The sequence below is a fragment of the Homo sapiens genome, chromosome X, assembly GCF_000001405.40.
Source record: "Homo sapiens chromosome X, GRCh38.p14 Primary Assembly".
In the NCBI taxonomy this organism is placed as follows: domain Eukaryota; kingdom Metazoa; phylum Chordata; class Mammalia; order Primates; family Hominidae; genus Homo; species Homo sapiens.
The window spans coordinates 111145523-111165513 of NC_000023.11; the positions used below are offsets into that span (position 1 = coordinate 111145523).

Consider the following 19991-nt stretch of genomic DNA (forward strand, 5'->3'; position numbering starts at 1 on the left):
ATTAACAAATGCTATTAATTGCACTTAGAATCATAACTGGGATCATGCATGGGCTCCTGAGTTCAAATTTTTGGCTTAAGGCTTTAGCATCTAGCTGCGTGAAAAATGCATGTAAAAGTGTCGTTTCACTGTGCTTGGAGTAACCCTAAATACCAGGAATCAAGGACATATATACAAAATCAAGCCAGTTGGGTCAAGCATGTTTCTGTAGCATTTGAGATATCTTTATTTAGGCAAAGCTGTTACCTTATATCTTGTCTTATTTTGTGGGAAGTGGGATTTTAGAACTGCAGCACTAAAATGGAAATTATATATATATGGTTTGAAATGGAATTGTTCCCCTTTCCCTGGTCTAAATATCTAAGAAACTTAACATATAGAGTCTGGCTATGTGGGAATGTTCTTTATCTAGTTTTCTCTAAGCCAGCCATGACTTTAGCTACAAAGTGCAAAAGAATCACATCAATGAGAATAAAATTCAATGTTTCCATACAGCCATCCTTTGAATTTTAGCCACATACACACTTTTGAAACTAAAATTGGTTAACCAGAATTGGGAACTGAAATTTGTAAGTTTATCACATGGCCATTGGCTACCTGTGATCACCCAGTTATAAAAACAACTTACAAATTATTGTCAAAGCTTTTCATGATGCCATCCTTCTTGCCTCCAAATTCATGTTTCTGCCTTTTAATAATTTCTCCAATCATTTAATGGTAATTCTTATTAATACATATTTATGGAGGAAGCATCTTGCCAAAAGTGGAATTATACATCCAAACTTTGAAGCATCGTCGTTCTCTCTGTTCTCTTAAATCTGTTGTCCTGTAGCCTGTCCTGTCCCTGATTTAGTTAAAACCTCCCTATTTTCATAACTGCCCCACTTTAGAAGGGACTCCCCCCATTCAGACCCATTGGTTTCATCTCCTCCCACCTTCTAAGTTGTCCCACATTCTGTTTTAACTTTCTTTTCTTTCTTTATTTACGTCCATTACAGCCAGATCTCTATGGCTCACAGATGTGCCCAGGGAAGCTCCCAGAGGTGCGTCACAGGCCCAAAAGAAGCTTGCATCAAAGTGCTTCTTTGAGATGTCATAGCACTGCAGCAGCAGGTTCATGTGTGTGCAGTAGAGTTGTTGCTTGGCTTATCTCACTTTTTTTGTTGTCATTCCCAAACTCTGGAGGCCCACGTCACACATTGTTTTGCCGAGACTTCATAGGATAAAGCCACATAAATTGTGTCTGGATGCACTTCAGGAATAGTGTGTCTGTTTCTCTCTCCAAGTTGCTCTTGGAGGTTGGATAATTATGAAATTGGGACTTCTGTAGGCTGGACATGTAGGAAAGAATGTTGAATGCTCAATGCAAAGCTAACCTCTAATTTTTGCAATTCTCCTTGGTTAGATTTCCAAATATTCCCTCCTCTCTGCTCTAAATGCTTCAGATTATTATAAATTATCACAAGGCTTTGTCGTGGTTTTCATAGTCCCCAGGTTCTATGTGGCCTATAAATGAAGTAAGGAGGAAGGGAGAGAGAGAGGAGAGGAGAAGGAGGGCATGCCCTGGAGAAAGCTGCAGGGGAAATGCCCAAAGCAGCATTAATGTTACTGTTTAGCATCTCAGTGGTTCTTGCCCCTCCACAATTCTATTTTTGTCTCCTACCAACCTGCCTTTATAGTAAAGCGCTAGACCCAAAAAATTACATTTTGTAATCACAAAGTATAACCTGACCAAGGGTGATCCTTTCCTTTTATTCTAAAATATATTCTGATTACAACATGACCAGAAACAGCTTGTTATTCCAGTCATAAAATCCATTGATCTGCACTTTACTATGCTGTGCACAAATTTAGAGAAGTCTTGCTATGTCTGCCCTGAGTCGCCAGAAAAAAAATAAGCTAAGCCGTAAACATCATTTCATGGATGAGCAGAGTCAATATGGAGGTGATTTTCATGCGCTTTTTTTTTTCTATCACAGTCATACTCCCACCCACCCTTTTTAAGTTGGATCCTAGTTTTACCTATGTGTTTTAATTAGAGAAGAGAATGATTGCATTATTAAGTTACTAACTTTAAATCTAGAATGTAACTTCAGTTTCCCAAGTGTAATCCTACAGGTAGCATGGGCTTCTTGGTGAAGAACTTTACTGGAACATAAAAATGCTGCTGCAGAATGTTCTGAGCTACCATTCTTTCCCTTTGGTTGTCCACAGGGAATTCCAGAGCAATGGGCACGATTACTCCAAACTTCCAACATAACAAAATTGGAACAGAAGAAGAACCCACAAGCTGTTCTAGATGTTCTCAAATTCTATGATTCCAAAGAAACAGTCAACAACCAGAAATACATGAGCTTTACATCAGGAGGTAAGAGGAAGTCTGTGGTATCAAAGGTGAAAAAGTAATTTCAATTTCAGAGTGTCATGTTGAGAACAAAATGTCTGTGGGACATTTGAAATCGATTCTAGTACCTTCTTCAAATGACATCAACATAAGGAAACCAAAAAATGAGTTGGAATTTGAGGTTGATGTTAAGTTATATAACTCAAGTATGTTTAGAATCAAAATAAGGTAATTATTTAGTGAAGGAGTAGTTGTGAGCTTGAACTGGTAGTCACAATTGTTGTCTCTTTACTGTCATAAAGACACTCAGTCACTTACTGGGCTTTGTTATATGTTCATGAAGTAAGAGTTGTATGTATGAAACCATGCTCTCTGGAAATTTACTTTGTCCCTTAGATTCATTGATTTACACCATGATGACACAGCACACTGTTTTTTTGGTGTCAGGTTATTTTGCTAAGACCCCCAAATCAGACTGAAAAGAGAAAACTATGTGTGACTATTTTTAGAAACTGAAATATCCATGTTACTGCCAAATCTTGACCTTATTTGCTAGTGTGTAGATTTAGTCTTTTCTTGGAGCTTTGATGTTCAAATTTGCACTATAAGCAACTGTATTAGTCCATTTTCATGCTGCTGGTAAAGACATGTCCAAGACTGGGAAGAAAAAGAGGTTTAATTGGACTTACGGTTCCACATGGCTGGTGAGACCTCAGAATCATGGTGGGAAGTGAAAAGCACTTCTTACATGACAGCAGCAAGATAATATGTGAAGGAAAAAAGTGGAGAACCCCGATAAAACCATCAGATCTCATGAGACTTGTTCATTATCATGAGAATAGCATGGGAAAGACCAGCCCCCATGATTCAATTACCCACCCCCGGGTCCCTCCCACAACATGTTGGAATTATGGGATATACAATTCAAGTTGATATTTGGGTGGGGACACAGCCAAACCATGTCATTCTGCCCCGGCCCCTCCAAATCTCATGCCCTCACATTTCAGAACCAATCATGCCTTCCCAACAGTCCCCCAAAGTCTTAACTCATTTCAGCAGTAACTCAAAAGTCCACAGTCCAAAGTCTCATCTTAGACAAAGCAAGTCCCTTTTGCCTACGAGCCTGTAAAATCAAAAGTAAGCTAGTTACTTCCTAGATACAATAGAGGTACAGGCATTTGTTGAATACAGCCATTCCAAATGGGAGAAATTGGCCAAAACAAAGGGATTACAGGGCCCATGCAAGTCCAAAATCCAGCAGGGCAGTCAAATCTTAAAGCTCCAAAATGATCTCCTTTGACTCCAGGTCTCACATCTAGGTCACGCTGATGTAAGAGGTGGGTTCCCATGGTCTTGGGCAGCTCTACCCTGTGACTTTGCAGGGTCCAGCCTCCCTCCCGGCTGCTTTCACAGGCTGCTGTTGAGTGTCTGCGGCTTTTCCATGTGCAAAGTGCAAGCTGTAAGTGGATCTACCATTCTGGGATCTGGAGGACGGTGGCCCTCTTCTCACAGCTCCACTAGGCAGTGCCCTAGTAGGGACTCTGTGTGTGGGCTCTGAGCCCACATTTCCCTTCTGCACTGCCCTAGCAGAGGTTCTCCATGAGGGCCCCACCCCTGCAGCAAGCTTTTGCCTGAGCATCCAGGCATTTCCATACATCTTCTGAAATCTAGGTGTATGTTCCCAAACCTCAATTCTTGACTTCCGTGCACATGCAGGCTCAACACCACGTGGAAGCTGCCAAGGCTTGGGGATTCCACCCTCTGAAGTCACAGCCCAAGCTGTATGTTGGCCCCTTTCAGATAAAGCTGGATTAGCTGGGACACAGGGCACCAAGCCCCTAAGCTGCACACAGCACGGGGACCCTGGAGCTGGCCCAAAAAACCAGTTTTTCCTCCTGGGCCTATGGGCCTGTGATGGGAGGGGCTGCTGTGAAGTTCTCTGACATGGCCTGGAGACATTTCCCCCATGGTCTTGGGGATTAATATTAGGCTCCTTGCCACTTATGCAAATTTCTGCAGCCAGCTTGAATTTCTCCCAAGAAAATGAGTTTTTATTTTCTATCGCATAGTCAGGCTGCACATTTTCCAAACTTTTATGCTCTGTTTCCCTTATAAAACTGAATGCCTTTAACAGCACTCAAGTTACTTCTTGAATGCTTTGCTGCATAGAAATTTCTTCTACCAGATACCCTAAAACATCTCTCTCAAGTTCAAAGTTCTACACATCTTTAGGGCAGGGGCAAAATGCTGCTAGTGTCTTTGCTAAAACATAACAAGAGTCACCTTTGCTCCAGTTCCCAAAAGTTCCTCATCCTCCATCTGAGACTACCTCAGCCTGAATTTTATTGTCCATATTGCTATCAGCATTTTGGACAAAGTCATTCAACAAGCCTCTATGAAGTTCCAAACTTCCCCACATTTTTCTATCTTCTTCTGTGTCCTTTCAAACTGTTCCAATTGCCTGTTGCCCAGTTACAAAGTCTCTTCCACATTATTGGGTATCTTTTTAGCAACACCCCACTCTACTGGTACCAATTTACTGTATTAGTCCGTTTTCATGCTACTGATAATGACATACCTAAGACTGGGAATAAAAAGAGGTTTAATTGGACTTATAGTTCCACATGGCTGGGGAGGCCTCAGAATCATGGTGGGAGGCAAAAGGCATTTCTTACATCGCAGCAGCAACAGAAAATGAGAAAGAATCAAAAGCAAAAACCCATGATAAACCCATCAGATCTTGTGAGACTTATCCACTATCACGAGAATAGCATGGGAAAGACCGGCCACTATAATTCAATTACCTCCCACTGGGTCCCTCCCACAGCACGTGGGAATTCTGGGAGATATAATTCAAGTTGAGATTTGGGTGGGGACACAGGCAAACCATATCTGCAACTGAAATATATATACCAAATAATACTTTCACATTTTGAGATAGATGATTTGAGTTCTCTCTCTACAATAATTTATTAACTTATTAACATCTAAAGAATGAAGGGAGTATTATCATTAGTACTACAGCTATAAAGAGCCCTTACCTCTTCGCACTGGATTTAGTATAAGCAGGCTTTAAGTTTCTTTGAGAATGATCCAAGGATACCCTTGGAAAGGGAAGAGTGTCTGATTTGGCCATATCAAATATCAAAGCCCAAACTGCTAAATTGGACTATTGCTTAACTGCTGTTATCCAATGTTGAAAACCTAAAAAGAAAGCCATCAAGGGAAACTTTTTACTATATTTAAGCTTCCACATAGAATAAAATATCTAAGAGATCCTGGTGATATATCAAAAAATGTTTCATGTGAGAAAATCAAGAGCTGTGCTCCAAGTTAGAACCATAGGCAACCAGAACTGAAAATGTATTCAAGAAATCATTTCACTGTAACCAAGAATACACTTTAGAGTATCAGAGTTTGTTCTTTACTCCAAATAGCCATTGCTGTTTAACACTTAGTTTTATATGCCAAATTTCTCTCAACTTACAAAGATGAAATCCTGACAACTATATTAAAACTCAACTGTACAGTTGTACTGTACTGAGCTGAGTGTACCTCATCATAGGTTTTCTGAATGCTCTGGTATTGGGACTGACTAACTGAATAGGAAGAGAAGATGAAGATAGCACAGGAAGGTGGAAAGAAGGAATGGAAAGGAGGTAGGGAGAGAAGAAAGTGGGAAAAATCCTAGATTTAGAGTAGTTCTCCACTTATCCATGTGGAATATATTCTAAGATCTCCAATGGATGCCTGGAACCATGGATAGTACTGAACCTTATGTATATCATGTTTTTTTTCTATACCTACTTACCTGTGATAAAGTTATAAATTAGGCACAGTAAGAGATAAACAACAATAACCAATAATAAAGTAGAACAATTATAACAATATGCCAGCATCACTACTTTTGCTCTTTGGGGCCATTATGAAGTAAAATAAGGGGTACATGACTACAAGCACTGTGATAGCTCCGCAGTTGTTCTGATAACCAAACTGGCTATTAAGTGACTAATAGGCTGGTAGTGTAAACAGAGTAGGTACACTGGACAAAGGGATGATTCACATTTCAGGTGGAATGGAGCAGGACCGCGTGAGATTTTATCATACTCAGAATGGCATGCAGTTTGAAACTCATGAATTGGTTATTTCTGCAATTTTTGATGTAATATTTTTGAACCACAGTTGACCACAGGTAGCTGAAACCACAAAAAGTGAAACTTCAGATAGGGGGGACTACTATAGATGTACAGAATCATACCTGTTAAGAGTAGGTAATCTTGTCATTCTTCCATATAAATGAGATTCACTGGAGGCCTTCATTAATATCTGCAAAATGACCTGGTGAGAATATGGTGAGGATGTAATGGTGTGAGCTATTTTAAGAAAAGCTATGTCATTAGTCATAATATCTAGTTAATACTAAATTGGAGCATTTCCTTCTAGTTGAAATCATGCAGTTTTTTAATTTTTATTTTTCTGGTGTGGTCTCTGAATGAAACATTCTTTATGAAACAAAAATGACCTCTCTATTCTCACTTTGCAGATAAAAGTGCACATGGATACATAGCAGCCCATCCTTCGGTAAGTGAAAAATTGAAAACTGTTTCACATGATTGGTGTTTCCAAAGATTTAAGAGAATATAACTGCACAGATCCAGTTTTTAGATATAAAGTCTTTTAAAAACAATTTTAAGGTATAATTCAGTTTATATAAAATTCACCTATTTTCAGGTAAACAGTTCAATGAGTTTTGGTAAATGTATATACCTATGCTACCATCACCACAATTGAGTTTTAGAACAAGTCCATCACCCCAGTAAAATCCTTCATACCTACTTACAGTTAACTCCACCCACCCCACCCTAGTCACAGGCAAGAACTAATATGGAATCTGCCTTTATGGATTTGGCTTTCTGGACATTTCATGTAAATGAAATAATACAGCGTGTGACTTTTGAGGATTGGCTTTTTTAACTCAGTTTATTTATTTTAAGATTAATCCAAGTTGTTGTGTATATCAATAATTTGTGTTCCTTTTTATCTCTGAGTATTCCATGGTATGATTGTACCACTGTTTGTTTAACCATTCAAACATTGAAGGCTCTCTAGAAAATTTTCAGTTGCTAGCTATTACAAATTAAGCTACTAGGAACATTCTTGTACAGGGTTTTTATGTGGACAATGTTTCTGTTTCTCTTACATGTAGAACTTTGAGAATAATAATCATGTTAATAGAAATTTCTCTGAACACCTACAGTGTACACTTATAATATAAACTGTAAGATAATTTTATTTTTATAGGTACTTAATCTTTCCTACAGCCCAGTTAAGTAAGTCTTACCATTGTCCCCATTTTACAGGTGAGAAAACTGAGGTTTGGAGAAATTAAATAACTTCTCTAAGGTTATAACAGTATACGTTTTGTATGTCACTTGTTCCAACAAACTGAGATACAGGGAGGGAAGTGCCTTTGTCCAAAGTCACATAGATAATTTTTATCAGAGAAGTGACTAGAAAATAAGTAACCTAGTTGTTGAAAGTGCTATAGTATCTGAAAGAATATTTGTACACATTAGACAGAAAATGATCTCAGATAAGGCTTCCCTTTCTGTGATTTTCATTTTGATATTCTGATAGAAATTACTTCCTGCCTCATTTGTTTTTTTAGGGGTGAAATAATTTGCATTACTGAAAGTCTCCTAACCATTTATTCAAACAGTCATGGATGGCCAACCTGATTCTTCTTCCTTTTATAGCAGACCAATGCCTTTTATAGTGGACAGATGTCTGCTTGACATCACCCTGGGTAGCCAGTATGACACCAGTAGATCTTCTTTAGTTGTAAAGAGTAAAGGTTCTGAAATATTATGTCAGTTTCTCAAAAATTAAAAATGGTATTAACCATATGATCTAGCTATTCCACTTCTGGGTATATACCCATAATTGAATGCAGGGTCTCCAAGAGATATTTATACACCCACGTTCATTGCAGCAATATTCACAGTAGGCAAATGGTGGAAGCAACCCAAGTGTCCATCAACAGATGAAGGGGTAAACAAAAGATGGTATGTATAAACAGTGGAATATTATTAAGCCTTAAAAAGAAGACAATTCTGACACGTTACAACATGGATGAACCAGGAGAACATTATGCTAAGTGAAATAAGCCAGTCTCAAAAGGGTATATACTGTATGATTCCACGTATGTGAGGTACCTAGAGGAGTCAAATTCATAGAGACAGAAAGTAGAATACTAGTTGCCAGGAGCTGGGAGCAGGGGGAGTGGGCAGTTGTTTAATGGGTACAGAGTTTCAGTTTTACAAGATGAAAAGAGTTATGGAGATGAATGGCTTTGATGATTATACAACAATATCCTCAACAGTACTGAAATACATACCTAAAAATGGTTAAGATGGTAAATTTTATGTTATATATATTTTGCTACAATTAAAAATAAAATGAAAAAAGAAAGAATGAAGGCTCTGGATGTAGGTATTTAATCTGATTTCCCCATTTACTAAGTATGTGACATTGGGAAACTAGCTTAGCTTCTCTGAGCTTCTTTCCTCAGCTTTAAGAGGGAATAAAAATAGTACTTACCTCCTACGTCTTGTGTGAATATTAAATGTGATAATGTACATAAAGTACTTAGTATAGTACTTAGCACATAATATATATTTATTAAATGTAAACTACTATTATTTTTACATGACAACAAGAGGAAAAACTCACTCTCTTCACACATGAAGCTTGTACTTGCGCTTTGCTCAGATTCCCCAAAACAGAACAGAATATGGCCCTCTCATCTGACTGGCCATTTCCTTTTCCTCCTTCTTTGCCATGACAGCTTCCTGGGCCACACTGAAAACAACATGTGAAGGGAGGTAATAGGAAAATGGAAAGGACAAAAATGACAGCCTTCCATGATCAACACATACTTTACCTCCTTTGACTTCATTAATATCATGCTTGTGCAATCTTGACTGGGTATTCTGGCAAAAAAAAAATAGTTATTATTTTTTTAGGTTGGTCAGTTATTTGAAACACCAACTTGCTAGGATAGCCTGTGTATTGGTTTTTGTTTTCTCCTAAGATATTAACTGTTTCTTTTGAGATTGGTTCTATTGGTTTTGCTTGTAGAATTAAAATGAAGTCTATGTTATGGCTAAAATATTCCATTAAGTTAGAAAAAAAAATGATGATCTCACTGTCTGGAGATAAAACAAATAGATATTTACCTATTTAACATATATTTACCAACTGCCTCCTTATAAGCTCTAGGAAGTTTGGATATCAGGCTGGTAGGGGAAGGTAAACATGGACATAAAGAAGTACAATACAGTATGGATAGTGGCTGAGTATAGTGGTTCATGCCTGTAATCCCAGCACTGTGGGAGGTCTAGGTGGGCAGATCGCTTGAGCCTAGGAGTTCAAGAGCAAACTGGGTAACATGGTGAAACCCTGTCTCTACAAATAATGCAAAAACTAGCTGGGCATGGTGGTGCACACCTGCAGTCCCAACTACTTTGGAGGCTGAGGTGGGAGGATCACTTGAGCCCTGGAGGTGGAGGCTGCAGTGAGGCGTGATTGTGTCACTGGACTCCAGCCTGGGTGACAGAGCAAAACCCTGTCTCAAAAAAAAAAAAAAACCCAACAATATGGATAGTATTACATATCATAAAATATGTTGACATGCTATGAGATTTCAGAGAAAGTAGATTGCTTTTAGCTGGGGAGGGAAAGGGAAGCAGGCCCTTGTCTCCAAGGGCTGAAGCTCAGTGTCTGGTACCAAATAGATACTTGGTATGTATTTGTTGAATGTTAAGTTAGAAAATGCTTCATATAAAAGTTGGCATTTGAGCTAGATCTTAAAGGTCAGATGAGATTTCGATCTGTGAAGATGGGAAGGGCATTTTAAGTAAAAAGAAAAGCATAAGAAAGGGTGTGTTGGTGAGTAGAGCAAGGAAACAAGGAATATGGGGTTGAATGAAAACTGAGATGCGAGAAAGGGAATCAGGAAATAAGTCTTGAAGGTTAAGGCGGAACCAAATCATACAGGCCCCTAAATGGTACTCCAAGGAATCTGGCTTTCCAGTATTCAGTGGGAAGCTTTTGAAGTGTTTTGGAGCAGGAGAGTTAAGTGATTAACACTTATACCTTGGGAAGAGTAATCTGACGGCAAATGTCCAGAATGAATTAAGTACAAATGGTGAGACTGGATGAAGGGAGACTAGTAGGGAGAATATTGCAAGCATCCAGGTAATCTGAGCCAGAAATGAGGTAGTAACAGTAGGAATGGGGAGATTACATTCAATTTCTAGAGGTATTTAGATTATTAATTGGATGTTGGAGGAAAGGGTGAGGTCAAAGATAAACGCAGGCTTAAACTGATAGGTCGTGGGTAAAAAGATAATGATGCTGTCTTTCAGGAGAAGCCAATTTCTGTGGGAAGATGCTGAGTTCCTTATTGGACAGTTTGAGTTTGAAGGGCTGGCAGGACTTTCAGGTGAAAATAATGGATTGACTGCTTGATGAAGGCTAGGTTTCTATTGATTGAATGAACTGAATTGGACCCCGACATTCTATTTGAATTACTTCAGTGGGACTCAGTTCCTTAGGAATGGATAACTGCACCTTGTGTTTTCCTTATAGTTCTAGAGGAGAGTATGCTTCGCAATGTGTATGTCTTTTTGCATCATAAAAACTCCCAGTAGATCTGGCTGTCTACAAAATCTGATTTAATGGGTCTGACAACCCCTTGTAGACATAGCCTGAATTGATTACAAGTTTTGCATCCTTTAGTAGCCTGGGTGAGAATTAAAACAGAAGCAATGTTGCATTCTCTAAGTGTTTTAAACTCATGATTCTGTAATTAATATTGAACTCAGGGATAGATCTCATAGTCATATAACACCTGCTTTACTGCTTATTTGTGGTAGCTTCTTTGATATTAGTGTATTCAATTTCAAATACTGTTCAAGTCTCTACTCTTTAATTTGAGGCTAATTTTAAAATTTCATATTTTTATCGTACTGTTGAAAATAAAATGACATATTTAGAATCCTAAGTTAGTATTCCAACTGGAAGGTAACAGCAATAATATGTCATTATTGTTTTGTCATATTGAACGTGCCATTATCTATGCTTAGAGCAACTGGATGTGCAGTTGACAGATTGCTCTTTTGTGATTTGCAGTACTGGTTAATTTTTTTTAAACATAGTTTAAGTAATTCTTTTACTTCAGTGTGCATCAGAATTTCATGGGGATTCTGTTAAATTGCAGATTCCAGGGCTCCACTCCCAGAGTAGATCTGGAGTAGAAACCTAAAATCTACATTTTAAACAATCACCAAAAGTGGCCCCCAAACAGCATTTTATATTATCTAAAGCCTCTAAGTTCCTTACTTCTAAGTTCTTTGACCTTTAAAAATTAAGCTCAGAGAAAAGGAAATTTCCTAAGGTAGCTACTCTAGCTGGTGTATTCTCTAGAGCAACGTTCAGAACTTGGAGTTCATGGGTGGGCTTCAGATCTATGAACTGTTGAAGTTATACATAAGAGCATGTGTCTACCTGTACCTTTCCGGGGAGATAGACCAAACCCTAAGAGTCCGGGACCCAACTCAGGTTAAGAACTTCATTCCCGACCAGGCGCGGTGGCTCACATCTGTAATCCCGGCACTTTGGGAGGCTGAGGCGGGCGGATCACCTGAGGTCAGGAGTTCGAGACCAGCCTGACCAACGTGGAGAAACCCCATCTCTACTAATACAAAATTAGCTGGGCGTGGTGGCACATGCCTGTAATCCCAGCTACTCGGGAGGCTGAGGCAGGAGAATCGCTTGAACCCAGGAGGTGGAGGTTGTGGTGAACAGAGATCGTGCCATTGCACTCCAGCCTGGGCAACAATGGCGAAACTCCATCTCAAAAAAAAAAAAAGAAAAGAAAAAAAAGAACTACATTCTCTGCCCCAATGTCTAGCAAAATTAGAGTGTCAAAAATATCTAATTTGATAAGACAAAAATATTCCTTACTTGTTATCCATCTATCTATATTTCTGTAAGTTTAGAAGTTTTAGATACAGTAATTCTCAGCCTGGAATGAAGAGCATGGAAACATTGCACCATTGACTCCAAAAATGATCACCAGGAAAACCTCTAAGTAAAGCTATGTTTATTAAACTTAGAGTGACATAAAAGCATTACTTTGATAAAGTCTTTGTGTCTTAAGAAGGGGATGTCAGGAGGGAATATTTATAGGGTTTTAGGGCTTAGACTGTTTGATTTTAAAGCAGGTCTTGCAAGGCGAGGAATGGGTTAAGATTATGCAGTGTTTATGATAACATAGCTTTGTATTGGTGAATATAGCAAAGGAAGGGGCTTGAAGCAAGTTTTAGTGAGCAAGCTGTTAGTCTCAATGAGCAAACTAGTTGGTTCACGGTATCTTCTAGAAACAAGTATTTCCTAAAGTAAGAAGCTATGTTATTTTTGCTTATTCTCACTATTGTTTAATATAAGAACATTAAAGTATGTCTGTCTTGATATTGACTAACACAGGGAAAATAAAATATGCCCAGTCCCAGTACTATTTACACAGTGATAGTAAAGTACGCCTAATCCCAGTATTTTTTAACTCAGGGACAGAAATTGTTAATTTCAGTTCTCAGTACCAAAGATTGCTATCCTTGGTGGATTGCTGGGGATTTAATGCTCTCTGGCCCAACCATAATTCAAAACATACTATCCACTCAATGCCATACATTCTTCCAAGTCAACCAACCAATATGGCAGGATAGTGTTTGGTCCAAAGTAAACAGAAATATCTGTCTTTTTCTTTTCCCACAAACCTTCAGAGGACAAAAACCTTCAGGTTTTCTAATAGTCCCTTAAGTCTATCCTTGGAGATGGGGAATGGTTTCCACTGGAAGTTAGCAGTGAAGATAGTAATGAATGTTAACAGTCAGTGAAATCTTGCAGGTGGATCTTATCTAGTGAAGTATTAAGACTTGAAATGTGTAAGGCTGCTCCTTGCCCCAGTAGGCAGACTGATCTTTGTACCAGTTTAAGGTTTGGGCCAAGAAGACTAGACCTTGAATCATTCTTTTTGCCTCTAGGGCCGTTTTTAGAGCCTAATAGACTGTATATACTCTCACTTGTAGAGGTCACATCATGCATTGCTTTAAACATATTAAAGGGCCCCCATACTTCACTTTATATTTTTGCTGTAAATTTTTGAAATTATTTTTGACATATTAATTTTGAAATTATTTACTTACAAGTAACTTTTAAAATGTATGGTTAGGTATAATTTCTTGTTAAATCATTGTAAATACTCAAGAATTTTTGCTAAATATGAAAATCAAACCTACAATTTATATTTAATATAATGAAATTTCTTTAAATGCTAAACATAAGAGACTAGTTAAGTTGGCATATTGTTATACTTAACAGACATTTAATTAAACATTAATTAATTTTGACTTTATAGTTTTCTTGTGGCTTTTTGGAGCTGATGATTTATTTCTGATGGCAAACACTTTCACGGGCCCATGTAAAACTTATCAACCCTGGGCAAGGTTCGTATTGCCTAATAGATAAAATAGCACCATTTGTCATATAAAAAAGTACTCAGCTTCCATCCTTCTACAAAGAAACAGTGATTAGGTACATTCTTGAACCCAGCTGGTGTAAGATAGGGCAAAACTTTCTGGAACATAATATCAAAGCAAATTTCGATAACCCAAAGCCCATTTCTCCCTGTGCCCCCTGAAATGCCCTGAAGAATTAGTGTTTTGCAAGAAGAAAGTGATTTTTTAAAAATCTGGAAACTTAATGTCATTAACAGATGTTGCTATCCACATAGCTATACAATATAATAGCCCAGTTGTTATGGCTAAATTAAGAATAAATATAGGTGCATAAATAAGAAAACCAATATTCAGTAAACATACAAACTTCAATCTATAAACCACTTAGCATTTATATCAGGGCAATAAAATATTCTTTCAAATGCTTGTTTATAAATTCTAGGTTGGCTTTCTTCTCACAATTGGTAAGTCTTTCTGGCTCCTATCAGATGTGTGATTACACCTTATTACTTCACCATAGGTTTATACATGATTGTAGAAAAGCCACATTGAATTTTTAATCACAATTGAGGTCCTTTGATGTAATGGTCTATTAATAGGCTGCCTATAACTGCCTCAGGAGCTTTGTCCTCAAAGAATGAAAATTCATTGTCGGATTATGTTAGGACAGTATACCCAGTGGCATAAACAAAAACAAAATAAATACACAAAAACAAAACAAAACAAAACACCTATAATAGCACTGTCCAACAAATATATAAACTATAGTCATAACTTTAAATTTTCTAGTAACCACATATTAAAATGTAAAAAATAGGTGAAATAAATTTTAATAATATATTTATTAAGCCAATATATTCAAATTTTCAGCATTTCAACATATAATCAATATAAGAAGTATTAATCTAACATTTTACAATTTTTTGATATTAAGTATACAATATCTGGAATGTAATTTACACTTGAAACACATCTCAATTCAGGCTAGCCACATTTTATTTTATTTTATTTTATTTTATTTTTTATTATTATTATACTTGAAGTTTTAGGGTACATGTGCACAACGTGCAGGTTTGTTACATATGTATACATGTGCCATGTTGGTGTGCTGCACCCATTAACTCATCATTTAGCATTAGGTATATCACCTAATGCTATCCCTCCCCGCTCCCCCCACCCCACAACAGTCCCCGGTGTGTGATGTTCCCCTTCCTGTGTCCATGTGTTCTCATTGTTCAATTCCCACCTATGAGTGAGAACATGTGGTGTTTGGTTTTTTGTCCTTGTGATAGTTTGCTGAGAATGATGGTTTCCAGCTTCATCCACGTCCCTACAAAGGACATGAACTCATCATTTTTTGTGGCGCATAGTATTCCATGGTGTATATGTGCCACATTTTCTTAATCCAGTCTATCATTGTTGGACATTTGGGTTGGTTCCAAGTCTTTGCTATTGTGAATAGTGCCACAATAAACATACGTGTGCATGTGTCTTTATAGCAGCATGATTTATAATCCTTTGGGTATATACCCAGTAATGGGATGGCTGGGTCAAATGGTATTTCTAGTTCTAGATCCCTGAGGAATCACCACACTGACTTCCACAATGGTTGAACTAGTTTACAATCCCCCCAACTGTGTAAAAGTGTTCCTATTTCTCCACATCCTCTCCAGCACCTGTTGTTTCCTGACTTTTTAATGATCGCCATTCTAACTGTTGTGAGATGGTATCTCACTGTGGTTTTGATTTGTATTTCTCTGATGGCCAGTGATGATGAGCATTTTTTCATGTGTTTTTTGGCGGCATAAATATCTTCTTTTGAGAAGTGTCTATTCATATCCTTTGCCCACTTTTTGATGGGGTTGTTTGTTTTTTTCTTGTAAATTTGTTTGAGTTCATTGTAGATTCTGGATATTAGCCCTTTGTCAGATGAGTAGGTTGCAAAAATTTTCTCCCATTCTGTAGGTTGCCTGTTCATTCTGATGGTGGTTTCTTTTGCTGTGCAGAAGCTCTTTAGTTTAATTAGATCCCATTTGTCAATTTTGGCTTTTGTTGTCATTGCTTTTGGTGTTTTAGACATGAAGTCCTTGCCCATGCCTATGTCCTGAATGGTATTGCCTAGGTTTTCTTCCAGGGTTTTTATGGTTTTAGGTCTAACATGTAAGTCTTTAATCCATCTTGAATTAATTTTTGTATAAGGTGTAAGGAAGGGATCCAGTTTCAGCTTTCTACATATGGCTAGCCAGTTTTCCCAGCAAAATTTATTAAATAGGGAATCCTTTCCCCATTGCTTGTTTTTGTCAGTTTGTCAAAGATCAGATGGTTGTAGATATGTGGCATTATTTCTGAGGGCTCTGTTCTGTTCCATTGGTCTGTATCTCTGTTTTGGTACCAGTACCATGCTGTTTTGGTTACTGTAGCCTTGTAGTATAGTTTGAAGTCACAGGCTAGCCACATTTTAAGTGTTCTGTAGCCTTATGTGGTTAGTTACTGCCATGTTAAACAGTGCAGACCTAAGCCATAGTTGATGGTTTTTAAACTTGAGCTTGCATCAGGATCACCTGGAAGGCTTGTTATAATACAGATCGCTGGGCTCCACTTCCAGAGTTTCTGATTCATAGGTCTGAATGGAGCTTGAAAATTTGCATTTCTAACAAGTTCCTTAATGATGCTAATGATGCTGATCTGGGAACCACACTTTGAGAACCATGGCCACAGTTCTTTCAAAATCCAACTTTGGAACCATTTTACCACTGTATTAACATGAGTGATCAAGAACTGTCCCTAGGTATTGTTGCTATTGTACCACAATACTGTCGTATTATTGCAGTTTATAAAATATTGAAAATCTCCATTTAACTCATGGTTAATATTGAGTAATTATTCATGTGGATGAGTAGTTCTTAGATCTTCATGTCTATTACTCTCTGAGTGCTTCTTTCCAGGAGGCTGGACAGGGAAGAGACATTTATTGGCTTGTTTGTTCTTAGTGAGTATTTACAGAGCTATATTAATACCATATGTATATGCATGCTCTGATCCTTAGGTAGAAAATAGTTCTTTTCAAGTTGACAAACTGTCAATCAATAAATTGATAATCTGCCCAGTATAGATTCAAGGCTCTAAGAGCAATTAGTTTGATTTTTAATGTATTTCAAAAACATTGAACTTTAAAATATTAAGTGAATAATAGTCCACTGTTTTTGAGCTCAGTGAGAAGTTTTTTAAAAAATTACACTTCATGGTTTTTTAAGCCATGACATGAATTTATCTCTGAATAAGTTCAGAGATTGTATTCAGGTGAGCAAGTCCTGGCCACCAAATTGTTGATGATTCTGATCATTTGTGAAAGATGTAGTTTCCTCCTATCCCTACATGCTTAAATATTTCATTTCCCTTGTTTTATTTCTGAAGAAAAACAATGAGGAGTTAATACCTGATCTTTAAACTTTGTTTTTGTCACAAGAGTACAAAAACAGCATCTGAGCCTCCATTGGCCCCTCCTGTGTCTGAAGAAGAAGATGAAGAGGAAGAAGAAGAAGAAGATGAAAATGAGCCACCACCAGTTATCGCACCAAGACCAGAGCATACAAAATCAGTAAGTCACAAAGGACTATTTCCAAATGATTCAAAAGATGCCCTTTGGAATAGTCATAGAGTTAGAATATAGTTAATCAGCTAGTACCTATTAAGCATCTTTTATGTTCCAAGAGCTAAAGTATAAAATATGACCAAGGTTTTGAGGATACTGTTTGAGGATACAAGGTTAGCACATTAAACAATTAGAGAATAATACCAAACAATACATAAATAACTGCTAAGTAATAAAAATGTTGGAGAAGTTAAGGTAAGGAAGGAAATCCATGTAAACCAGGTAGGAAGAGTTGCATAAACAGAGATCCTCAGACCAGAATTAGCAAGGCATGTATAGGGACATCCAAAGACTAGCTCCCATGATCTTTCAACAGTGTTGTACTTTCAGCTACTCAAAGTCCTTTTTTTTTTTAAGAAAATACCACTTGTCTTTAAAAATTCATTGATATTACAATACATTGACTCCACACTCTTTCCTTGGCCTGCTGTTTTAATTGCAGAGCTTTTTGGTTTTTTTAGATCTATACTCGTTCTGTGGTTGAATCCATTGCTTCACCAGCAGTACCAAATAAAGAGGTCACACCACCCTCTGCTGAAAATGCCAATTCCAGTACTTTGTACAGGAACACAGATCGGCAAAGAAAAAAATCCAAGATGACAGATGAGGAGATCTTAGAGAAGCTAAGTGAGTACTTCTTGCCATGATTACTTTCTACACGGGAGTGTTTCTCATAAGCCATTTAAAATGGGAATTGATCCTTTGGAAGTTTTAATCTGCTTATATGAACTCCAGACTTCCCAAAATCATGAGATGAAAAATTTGAGACTCACTGCATATGCCAGAACACTTTCTCCCTTCCACTCCTAATTTGACAGGAACTAAATATTTTTACTTGAAGGAATCAATTGAGGTGAAAATTGATAAGACAAATTAAGTAGCAAGTTTTAAGATTACATCTTCAAAAGAGAATAGTCTGATAAAATATGTTATGATCATAACCCAAGGGCTCTCAACTAATCAGTGATGATAGATATGTCAACCTCAAAGCCCAACACAGTCAATCAAAACTTGGAACAACAAATAATATAGCTTTTTCCCTTAATTCAGAAGCATTTATATGTGGCAGGAGAGACAGAACTAGCAAATGCTAGTAGCTTCCTTCCACAATGTCATTAGTGTGTACATGCTCGTGTGTACACACTTGTTGCCCCAGTTTTATAAAACACTTACCTTCTAGTTACTTTTCTGGGTCAAGAAGATAAAAAAAAATGGATTATCTGCTGAAAAGTCAAAGGTTTGTAAAGCATATTCATTAAACTCATACTATAAAAGCATCTAACAAATTGCTAGATATCAGCAATAAGTGCCCCCCCCAACCCCAGTTTGACTAACTCCTACTTATCCTTCAATACTCAGCTCAAAAGTTGCCTCCTCAGAAGATGTTGCTTGTCCCTCCCAGTCCATGTTAAGGGCATCTCTTCCTTACCACTTTTACTGGAGCAAATATCAAACCATATTAGTCTGACTTCTTTACTAGACTGTGAGATTCTCAAGAGCAGGGACTGTGCCCTTTTTTCCCTATATGTCCAACCCCTAGTTCATACCCATTACATAAAGGCATACAGCAAATGCTTGTTGAGTGAGTGAATGAAAAAAATAAGTAAACAAATACATCTTTACTGAGTTCCTACTTGTCTGTTCTGTGCAAGAAACCTTGGAGGACACAATAGAATGAAACTTTCCTGTCATCAAGAAATTCAATCTTTTTTGGAAAATACGATTTAATAGTATGATACAATTAGAGCATAAGATAATCTCGTTTCATGCATATTTTTATTTAAAAGACCTCAGAAAAGGAAGACAGTAATTCCCACTATAGGCCACAGGGAGGCTCTGCAGAGGTGGTGGTAGGATGATTTTGCCCTCCAAAGGACATTTAGCAATGTCTGGAGAATATTTTTATTGTCCTGATTCAGAGACTGCTAGTAGCATATAATGGGTAGAGGCTAAGGATGCTTCTAAAACCCCAACAGTGCACAGGACGGCTGCCCTCCATCCACTTTACAGTAAAGTATTATTCAGTCCAAAATGTCAACAGTACTGAGATTGAGGCATTTGAGTTAGATGCATTTGGAAAGGCAAAGGTCGGAGTTGCAGCTGTCAGTTAAAACTCAGAACTACAATTGCTAGATTTTTGCTGACTTTACTATTCATGATTAAATATGCCACTAGCACTGATACTAACCATTTGCTGTAATAACAGCAGTAATAATTCTCATTTATTGGGCACCTTCTGGGTGGGCCACTTTACATACATTATCATAGTTTCACAGTAATTCCTTGCAGCTGATTCTAATATCCTCATTTTACAGACCAGTGAATGAAAGTAAGCTTTAAAAGGCTTAACTGACCAAGTCACCAAACCAATGTGTGGCACAACCAAAGTTTGAACTGAGACCAGTTTACCTTC

At 37.6% G+C, this 19991-nt stretch overlaps 1 protein-coding gene across 36 annotated transcripts in view; it reads left to right on the top strand.

The window, feature by feature from the left end:
- Positions 1-19991, top strand: part of PAK3 (p21 (RAC1) activated kinase 3) — a 282965-nt gene that overhangs the window by 201126 nt on the left and 61848 nt on the right. For 20 of the 36 annotated variants that reach the window (NR_136747.2, NR_136748.1, XM_047442148.1 and 17 more), the window contains 4 exons: positions 2215-2368; positions 6888-6925; positions 17393-17524; positions 18040-18205. Coding sequence is in view for 34 of the 36 variants with exons in the window: in XM_047442148.1 (XP_047298104.1) it covers positions 2215-2368; positions 6888-6925; positions 17393-17524; positions 18040-18205 (490 nt within the window). In the remaining 2 variants the exon portion in view is untranslated. Of the gene's footprint in view, positions 1-998; positions 1044-2214; positions 2369-6887; positions 6926-17392; positions 17525-18039; positions 18206-19991 lie in introns of all 36 variants that reach the window. The other 16 variants (XM_017029557.2, XM_011530968.3, XM_011530969.2 and 13 more) reach the window with 1 other exon arrangement.